This window comes from Homo sapiens, chromosome X, assembly GCF_000001405.40.
Source record: "Homo sapiens chromosome X, GRCh38.p14 Primary Assembly".
Taxonomy (NCBI): domain Eukaryota; kingdom Metazoa; phylum Chordata; class Mammalia; order Primates; family Hominidae; genus Homo; species Homo sapiens.
The window spans coordinates 102,954,867-102,965,431 of NC_000023.11; the positions used below are offsets into that span (position 1 = coordinate 102,954,867).

Genomic DNA, 10,565 nt, shown 5'->3' on the forward strand with positions numbered 1-10,565 from the left:
TCATATATGCCTCTTATTTTGAGGTATGTTCCTTCAACGACTAGTTCATTGAGGGTTTTATCATGAAGGGATGTTGAATTTTATTGAAAGCCTTTCTGCATACATAGAGATGATCATGTCTTGTTTTTAGTTCTGTTTATGTTATGTTTTAGTTCTGTTATGAACATATGAAACATATGTTCAACCAACCTTGTATCCTAGAGATAAAGCCTACTTGATCATGATGGATTAGCTTTTTGATGTTCTGCTGGATTCAGTTTGCTAGTATTTTGTTGAGGATTTTTGCATCTATGTTCATCAAAGAAATTGGCCTGAAGTTATTGTTGTTGTTGTTGTCTCTGCTAGGTTTTGGATCAGGATGATGCTGGTCTCATAGAATGAGTTAGGGAAAAGTATCTCCTCCTCAATTTTGGGGAATAGTTTCAGTAGGAATGGTCTCAGTTCTTCTTTATACATCTGGTAGAATTCGGCAGTGAATCAATCTGGTCTTGGGCTTTTTCTTGTTTGTATGCTTTTTATTGCTCATTCAATTTCAGAGCTCATTATTTGCCTGTTCAGGGATTCAATTTCTTCCTGGTTCAATCTTGGGGAGTTGTATGTTTCCAGGAATTTATTCATTTATTCGAGGTTTTCTAGTTTTTATGCATATAGGTGTTCAAAGTAGTCTGTAAGGGTTGTTTTTTTTTTTGTATTTCTGTGGAGTCAGTAGTAATGTCCCTTTTGTCATTTCTGATTGTGTTTATTTTTATCTTATCTCTTTATTAATGTAGCTAGCAGTCTATCAATCTTATTTATTGTTTTGAAGAACCAACCTGGACTAATTGACCTTTTGTATGTTTTTGTGCAAATAAGTTTTAGTCAGTTCAGCTCTGATTTGGTTATTTTGTGTCTTCTGCTAGCTCTGGGGTTGGTTTGCTTTCGTTCCTCTAGTTACTCTAGGTGTAATGTTTGGTTGTTCATTTGAGGTCATTCTAACTTTTTGTTGTGGACATTTAGCACTTCACCATTAAAACTGGTTTAGCTGTGTCCCAAAGATTCCATTATCTGATATGTTTTATCTTTGTTCTCATTAGTTTCAAATAACTTCTTGATTTCTGCCTTAATTTCATTGTTTACCCAAGAGTTATTAAAGAACACTTTGTGTCAGGAGTTCAAGACCAGCCTGGCCAATATGGTGAAACCCTGTCTGTACTAAAAATACAAAAAAATTAGCTGGGCATGGTGGCACGTACCTGTAGTCCCAGCTACTTGGGAGGCAGCGGCAGAAGAATCACTTGAACCTGGGAGGCAGAGGTTGCAGTGAGCCGAGATCACACCACTGCACTCCAGCCTGGGCGACAGAGACTCCGTCTAAAAAAAAAAAAAGAAAACCACCACCAACAAAAAAACCACTTTGTATAATTTCCATGTAATTTTATAGTTTTGAGCAATTTTCTGAATACTGTTTTCTATTTTTATTCTACTGTAATGTAGTCTGAGAGGTCTGAGAGTGTGTTTGGTATGATTTTGGTTTGTTTGAATTTGATAAGGCTTTTTGTTTTTGTTTTTTGTTTTTTTCTGTTTTTTTTGTTTTTGTTTTTGTTTTGTTTTGTTTTGTTTTGTTTTTTTTGAGATGGAGTCTCACTCTGTCACCTAGGCTGGAGTGTAATGGTGCTGTCTCAGCTCACTGCAACCTCCACCTCCCGGGCTGAAGTGATTCTCCTGCCTCAGCCTCGTGAGTAGCTGGGATTACAGGCGTCTGCCATCATGCCCAGCTAATTTTTGTATTTTTAGTAGAGACGGGGTTTCACCATGTTGGTCAGGCTGGTCTTGAACTCCTTAGGGAATCCACCTGCCTTGGCATCTCAAAGTGCTGGGATTACAGGCATGAGCCACCACGCCCAGCTGATAAGGATTCTTTTACAGCCGATTATGTTGTTAATTTTGGAGTACGTGCCATGTGCATATGAGAAGAATGTATATACTTGTTTTTGGGTGGAGAGTTCTGTAGATGTCTGTTAGGTCCATCTGGTCAGCTGTTGAGTTCAGGTGCTGAATATCTGTTAGTTTTCTGCCTCGATGGTCTAATACTATCAATGAGATGTTGAAGTCTCCAACTTTTATTGTGTGGTTATCTAAATCTCTTCATAGGTCTCTAAGAACTTGCTTTATTAATCTGGGTACTCCTATGTTGGTGCATATATATTTAGGCTAATTGGGTTTTCTTGTTGAACCCTTTACCATTGTGTAATGCCCTTCTTTGTCTTTTATGATCATTGTTGCTTTAAAGTCTGTTTTGTCTGAAATTAGAAAAAGAACCCCTGCTTTTTTCTGTTTTCCATTTGCTTGGTAGATTTTTCTCCATCCCTTTATTTTGAGCCTTTGGGTGTCATTGGATGTGAAATGGGGTCTCTTGAAGACAGCATACAGTTGGGTCTAGCTGCTTTATCCAATTTGGCATTCTATGCCTTTTGATTGGGGCATTTAACCTGGTTATATTTAAGGGTAATATTAATATGTGCAAGTTTGATCCTGTCATTATGTTGTTAGCTGGTTATTATTGCAGACTTGATTTTGTGGTAGCTTTATAGTGTCAATGGTCTGTGTACTTAAGTCTGTTTTTGTGGTGGCTGGTAACGGTCTTTCCTTTCCATATTTAGCACTTCCTTAAGGACCTTTTGTAAGGTAGGTCGGGTGCTAATGAATTGCCTTAGCATTTGTTTGACTGAAAAGGATTTATTTCTCTGCTTACGAAGCTTACTTTGATGGAATATGAAATTCCTGGTTGGAATTTCTTAAAAATGTTGAATATAGGCCCCTAATCTCTTCTGGTTTGTAGGGTTTCTGCTGAGACTTCACTGTTAGCCTGATGGGTTTCCATTTGTAGGTGACCTGCCCCTTCTCTATAGCTACCTTTAATATTTTTTCATTTTGACCTTGAAGAATCTATGTGCCTTGGAGATAATTGTCTTGTATAGTATGTTGCAGGGTTCTTTGCATTTCCTGAATTTGAATGTTGGGCTCTCTAGTGAGCTTGGAGAAATTTTTGTGGCTGATATTGTCAAATATGTTTTCCAAGTTGCTTTCTTTCTCTCCCTCTCTTTCAGGGATGCCAATGAGTCATGGGTTTTGTCTGTTTATATAATCCCATATTTCTTAGAGGTTTTGTTCATTCTTCGTTATTGTTTTTTGTTTTTGTCTTAGTTATTTTCGAGAACTGGTCTTTGAGCTCTGAGATATTTTCCTCAGCTTAGTGGGTTCTGCTGTTAATACTTGTGATTTTTTTAATGAAATTCTTGAAGTGAGTTTTTCAGCTCTGTCATATCAGTTGTGTTTTTGTTTTTTGTTTTGTTTTTGTTTTTGTTTTTGTTTTGAGACAGAGTCTTGCTGTGTCACCCAGGCTGGAGTGCAGTGGTGAAATCTCGGCTCACTGGAAGCTTCGCCTCCCGGGTTCAAGTGATTCTCCTGCGTCAGCCTCCCAAGGAGCTGGGATTACAGGAACGTGCCACCATGCCTGGCTAATTTTTGTACTTTTAGTAGAGACAGAGTTTTGCCATGTTGGCCACTCTGGTCTCGAACTCCTGACCTCAAGTGATCTGGCCACCTCAGCCTCTCAAAGTGCTGAGATTACAGGCGTGAGCCACCATGCCCAGCCTGGTTCTTTGTTACAACAGCATTTCATCTTTTATCTCCTATATAGTTCTATTGTATTCCTTATATTCCTTGGATTGGGTTTTGACTTTCTCTTGAATGTCGATGATCATTCCTATCCATATTCTGAATTCTATTTTTGTCATTTCAGCCTTTTCAGCCTGGTTAGGAAACATTGCTGGGGAACTAGTGCAGTGATTTGGAGGTAAGTAGACCCTCTGGCTTTTGAGTTGCCAGAGTTCTTGCACTGATTGTTTCTCATGTGTGTGGGTTTGTGTACCCTTAACTGTGGTGTAATTTGAGTGTAGTCAGTTACCTTCATTTCTCGATGTTTTCAGAGGGCTAATGCTTTGTGCAGGGTATTTATTTGTAGCTGAATTATTGTCCTTGGTTTCACAGAGGATATATTAAAGTATTTTTTTGTGTTGAAGTTTGGGCTGTGATCCAGTAGATGGTGCTTAAGCATGCTGGCTGATAGGTAGACTGTTGTTCAGTCACATGACTACTCTGTATTTGCCCGCATTTGCAGCTGTGCTCTCTCTCTCTCAGTGCTCTGAGAGTGTAGGCTCCTTTCCCACTCAAGTGCTGGCTGCAGATCTGGGTTTGGCACTCCTGGACGTCATACTACAGCCCCGGGGTAAGCTCAGCCTTTATGTTCCCTCCACAGCATGGGGGCAAACACGAACCTTGACAGTGGCAATGGCAGAGGGCCTTTAATTTGTCTCTTGGGGCTCTATCCCAGAGACATGCAGAACTGCTGTCAATCAGAGTGATTGGCCTTGTGTGGGGTGGTTGCATTGTGGGCTCAAGCCTGGGGGCCCATGGGGAACACAGACTGGCCTCTTCTTACAGCAACTGCAGCATGCTGGAGGTGTGAGTAAGGCACTCAGGGGTCTCTGTTTCTTCCACAGTCCAAGGACATCGAGCACAGTACCTTTGCAGTGGCAGTGTCAGAGGGACTTTCAGTTGTCTCTGGGAGCCCCACCTCACAGAAATGCAGAGCGTCTGCTAATGCAAGTGTTCAGCCAGAGGGTGAGGTGGCTGTGCCATGGGCCTGAGCTGGGAGCCCTTCTTGGTGAAGAGTAAAGGGTCAGGGACTCACACGAAAGGGAGACTGAGTTCCTCTCCATATGGTGACTATGGCATGCTAGAGACATGAGTAATGCCCTCAGGCTCTTTGTTCCTTCCCCAGTCCAAAGACAACAAGGTCAAAACCACTGCAGTGGCAGTGGTAAAGGGGCTGTCTGTTGCCACTGGGAACTCCACCCCAGGGAAACACAGAACCACTGCCAGTGGGAATGCTTAGTTGGGGGTGGCGTAGCTGCCCTGTAGTCCCAAGCCAGGGGCCTTGCCTGTTGAAGAGTAGGGAGCGAGGCCTCACAGGGAAGACAGACTGGGCTCCTCCCCATATGGTGGCTGTGGTGTGCTGGTGGTGCCAGCAATGCGACCTGGACCTTTGTTCCTTCCCCAGCCCAAAGGCAGTAAGGGCAGTACCACTGCAGCTGCAATGAGAGGGGCTGTGGGTTGTCTCTGTGATTTCCTCCCTAGAGAATGACAGAGCTGCCACTGACTTAAATGTTTGGGCGGGGACAAGGTGGTTGTTCTGGGGGCCTGGGTAGAGAGACCCTGCCCACTGAGGAGTAACAGGGCCAGGGCCCATGTGGAAGAGAGTCTGCCTTCTTATCTAAAAAGCAGCTGCACTGTGCTGGAGGATTGCATTAGTCCTAAGTCTTTTGGCTCCCTCCTGAGCCTGAGGGAAACAGGAGCAGGAGCTGCAGAGCAGCAAAAATGGCAGACCTGCCTGCTACAATTGAGAGCTCTGTCCCAGGGAAGTACAGATCCCCCAGGGGGATCTGCTACTGGCCCAAGAGCCCAGACATGGGTGGGGTGGCTGGAGTCCCAAGTCTGGAGGCCCTGCCCAGTAAGAAGTAGTGGGGACAGAGATCTATGTGGAAAAAAGTCTGGCCACTTTTCTGTAAGGCAGCTGTGCTGTGCTGGGGGCCTGCATTAGTCCTTAATCACCCTGCCAAGACTGGGGGACCCGTCTGCTACCACTGAGAGCTCCATTCCAGGGAAATACAGGGCTGCTATTGGCTCTAGAGCTCAAGTGAGGCTGGAGTGGCCATGCTAGGGACCCAGCCAAGTGGGCATTATCCAGCAAGGTGCAATGGAGGTGAGGCCTGCAGTCCATCTGCTCCTCAGCCCCGTGGATTTAGCCCCTATACTGGAGGCATTCCAGGGAGCCTGGCCTCTCTTGTTGCCAGAGCTACAGCCACTGGTGCTGGGGTGCCCAGCAGTCCAAGGGCCCTGGAGCTCCATGTGTGCCTGAGCAGTGGCTCTGCCTAGACTCCATGTAGCTCTCCATGTCAGTCTGCAGGCTCTGCTCAGGGAGTCAAGGGGATCTTCTGAGCACAGGGTTGTGAAGATCTGTAGCAGAAGCTTTAGTGAAATTTCAGACATTAACAACAAAGTTTCCCTGATTTATTTAACTTCTCCTAACTTTCTATAACCTGATATAAAATGGACATTTAATTATAAATTACTTGAGTAAAGGTTAAGATTAATGAAAATACTACTCAAGTAACTTATAATTAAATGCCCATTATCATCATCAGCATCATCATCTAAAGGGGTTATTGAGTAGGCATCCATGGGGTGGTGTGAAATGACCAGCCCCTAAGCCTTGGTGGCCCATTATCTACAGAAGATATCACTGGGCACATTAAATGTTTCCCAATCTTCTTTCGTTATCCAAAGGAGCCTTATTAGACATGTTTTTCCTCCTTATTAGTCCCTTCTTGCCTGAAATGTGAAATTTTAATACCACAGATATAGTGTTAACTGTTTATGTATTTTGGTCCTATGTAGTGCCACAAACCATTTTAATGTCTACTATCTCCCTACCCTTAAAAACCAATTCTCAGCCCCTTGGGGGCAATATATCCTCTGTTGAAAATGCATGGAACATTTTAAAGAGGACAAAAGCTGGAACCTCATTCCTGCCTTTTACTTGATGTGTGACACTGGAAAACTTCCTTAACCTCTGTCAGCTTGCCCATGGTCATCCGGAAAAGGGAACCACTGAGAGCTCATGATGTGTTACTTACAGAACTGTCCTGTGGGGTAAATGAGAAATCCTATACAGAGAAGATGGCACCTAGAGAAATCCTATACAGAGAAGATGGCACCTAGTCTTCAACAAATATTCATCCTGGCCCACTTTTCTTCTCCTTCCCAGAGAAGTGATGACTGTCATCTAAACCAAACAGCATAACTACCACAGAGACCAGCTGGTAATGGAGCAGGAAGAAGTAGCATATACTTACATTTAGTTTATAAATGAAGCTTTGGGGCTATTTCTGTGATGCAGGATGGCTTTGCCAAGGAATGTGGGAAGAGGGAAAAGATCATCAAACCATTTCTTTAATTCTGTGTCATTTTTGCCCCATTATTTGAGCTTCTATACTGATATTGGAAAAATAGTTTCCTATGGAGTGTCAAATAAAGAAAGAGTGCAGATAAAGAGGAGAGAGAAGTCACATGCCCTTGACCCTCATACCATTACCACCTACAGGACTCTGAACCAGAATTTCATCTGCACCAGTGGGTAATTCAAAGTGGGAGGAGTTGTTGAATGTGTATCCATGAAGGCACAATACTACAAACGTGTAAAACTACTAGGTTTTAAATCCTAGAATGTCATGGTGTATAAAATATTGATAATTATTGCTTTGGTTTTGAATTAGGGGAAAATATATCCTCGTATACTTGGAAGTGGCTCCCTCAGTATCTTTTATTCTTGAGCTTCAGGGATATTCTTCATTCTAAATGTGTATCTCTTTCCTGTGGGTGGGGTAAGGAATGCTTGAATGTTCCTGACAATGTTTTTGTATAATTGCAGGAGCATTTGATATTTATTACAGTTATAAATACATAAGAAATGAAATAAACAGCATTACTCTAAAACAAAAGAGAATACCTGCTCTCAAAATATCTTGAGTATTTCAAAGAGAATACCTGCTAATGCTTATATCTGTATAATATTCTTTCACAAATTTTCTTATGCAGGTACTTATAAATTTATGCAGAAATGAATACATTTATATACTTATCTACAAAATATAAGATCTCATTCTACATTTAGTTTTATAACCTGCTTGTCTCACTAAAACCATACCTCAAAGGTCATTGGTTGTGAGTAAATATGAGTCTTTACCACAGAGATAGTAAATACTAATGGCCAATAAAGACAGAGAAACAAATATGGCTACAATATGTTATGTGCCAAGTGCTTTTTAGCTACTGAGTCGTTCAATTCTCACGGCACCCTTACAAGGTTGAAACTGTTGCTGATCTCCATTTTGTAGATGGAAAACTAAGGAGCAGATAGAATAAAAATTTTACCTGAGACTGCACAGTTAGGGAGTGCGACAGCTTGGATTTATGTTCAGTACATCATGCTCCAGAGCCTGGGAAACTGTCAAGGCTCTGTTGTTAGGTGAAAGAAGCAACTACACAAGCATGCATATTTTAGGAGCTCATTAAAAGTAATACTTCACAGGTTAATACATTTACACAAAAAACTGGACCTGGTGACAAATAGGTGGATTGCAACCTTGGTAAGATCATGTTCATTGCAATCCTGGCGACAGAAGCCACAGTGCAGGGGGAAGTGAAGAATTTTAACAGGAAATGTAGAAAACTCTCTTTGGTAGTTTAACTTTGAAGGGAAAGAGATGGAGATTCTGGCTGAATGGGGAGATTTTAAAAAATAATCAATTTCTTGAAACTTGAGAAGGTTTTAAAATGAAGATACTTAGGGGTTTTGCTAAATGAGAAGATTTTAGCTGTTCTTGCCATGCACAAAAAAATGGGTAACTATGTGGTATTATGAATATATTTATTTTCTTCACTATATAGTAACTAATACTTTACTTTCTGTATGTATCTTAGAACATCATATTGCATATCTTAAATATAGACAATAAATGTATTTTTAAAAGTTAACGTGATGAAGCTATCTTATCTCAGATTTAACACTAGAAATTGCTCATTTTTTTTTTTTGGCTGGAGTACAGTGTTGCGATCATGGCTCACTGCAGCTTCAACCTCCTGGGGCTCCTGTGATCCTCCCAGCTCAGCTTCCCGAGTAGCTGGGACCACAGGTGCATATCAACACACCCAGTTAATTTTTTTTGTTTGTTTATTTTTGTAGAGACGGGAGTCTCTTTAGGTTGCCCAGGCTGGTCTCGGACTCCTGGGCCCAAGTGATCCTCCCACCTCGACCTCTTAATGTGCTGGGATTATAGGTGTGAGCCACTTCACCCAGCACATTTTCTTTCTTACGCTCTTATTTTCACTTTAGAGCTCATGAGAGGCCTCTAATCGACTAGTATGAGTTTTGAGCTAAATATGTATTTAGTTATTAGTGAGAAAATGGACAATGGGCAATTGTGAGTCAAATAAATGCTAAATTTTTGCCTCTCCAAGAAGGCAGCAGGTGGCTGAAATCCTGGTGTGATATGGCTGAATAATGCATGATCTGAGGACCCTGTACTGGTTACTCCTGTACACGTTCACAATTTTTCTGTAAATGTATTAATATACTGAGCAGTCCAGGAGCAGCCATTAGGCAAACACCACTCCTTGCTTCCTTCATGTGACCTATCACTGAGCTCACCAGCTGAGGTCAATTACATTCTTCCCAACCTGGAGAACAGAATTTGGGTCTGCTCAGAGGCATGATGTGAAACATGTCTGGGATAAAAGCTTTGTTCTATTGACAGCAAACCTTTTTGTGTTAAGGGGTAGGGGAAGAGCAAGTGAAGGATGCAGATTAATTTCTATTTAGGAATATACTTTTATATATTGTTTGAAATTTTGTCTTTTAAAAATATTCATACAAATTTAAACAAAAAATTACTTGTGAACAGATTGACAAATGTCATGTGCACACATATTTATTAATTTGAAAAAGCATTCACTGTGTTAAATTTATGGTGAAATAAAGTTGATTAAACTTTGAAATAACTGAGTATGTATGTGTGTGTGTCCTCTGGCTCTATCATCACTCCAAATACACACTCACAAGTGAAGTTTCACCTTGAATTCAGAGATGGGCTTGACTCCAATTTCAGTTTTAGATATCCTAGAAAATAGTTGATGCAGAGAGATTGCTACAATCAGGTGAATAATTGCAGAAAACTGCCTGATACCTTGGAGTTAACCTCCAGCCTCCATTCCTCTCGCCCCCTTGCTGAGCCCCCTGTTCTGAAACTCTCAGAGCTTCCATCCTGTCTCTGGCCGCTAGGTGACATCCAACTCTATTCTGCTTTTACTGCTTTAATAAAAATGAGTATATTTTGCAAAGAATAAAAAATATCTTGTAATAGTTTTTATGCTGTGATGCCAATTCTGTTTGGAAAATTCACATGTGCATTAAAACAGCTCAATTTGCTGTTGACCTTAAATCTACATCTCACTGATTTAACTCTTATCTCCTCAGTGTAGGTTGAGGTATCCACACTATAGAGGGGTCCCTCCTAGACGACAGAGTGATCACACTTCATTACCCAACCCCTGTACTGGCTTCCCAGATCTCCTCCCACTCCCTCACAGGCTCCAGGACACTGTGGACACAGCTGCCCAGATCTGTCAATGGCACCTGATCCTCTCTCAGACAACTCTTGCCTGTCCTATACTGTGCTTTGCTTGCTGGGGACTGCTAAAGCACACTAAAGCTGCCTGGTGTTTCATGTGGGTGCCCCAGTTTGTTTTTACTGTCTTACTCTTACTAGTTTTTTTTATTTTTGGAAGAATTAAAATCATTCTGTACATAGGCTCATAAGTCTGAAGGGAGGTATTTTTGTTTTGCTCCTTGCATGCATTTCTTTGTAGAGAATTTGACAATGGTGGTATATTGGTGCCCCTCATGA

The 10,565-nt window shown here is 41.5% G+C and overlaps 1 long non-coding RNA gene across 1 annotated transcript in view; it reads left to right on the top strand.

The window, feature by feature from the left end:
• The window catches only part of LINC00630 (long intergenic non-protein coding RNA 630), a 195,371-nt gene extending 185,714 nt beyond the window's left edge, over positions 1–9,657 (top strand). Inside the window, exons 11-12 of the long non-coding RNA NR_146589.1 lie at positions 3,782–3,835; positions 6,740–9,657. This is a non-coding gene — a long non-coding RNA (long intergenic non-protein coding RNA 630). The remainder of the gene's footprint in view (positions 1–3,781; positions 3,836–6,739) is intronic.
• Positions 9,658–10,565: the final 908 nt, after the last annotated feature.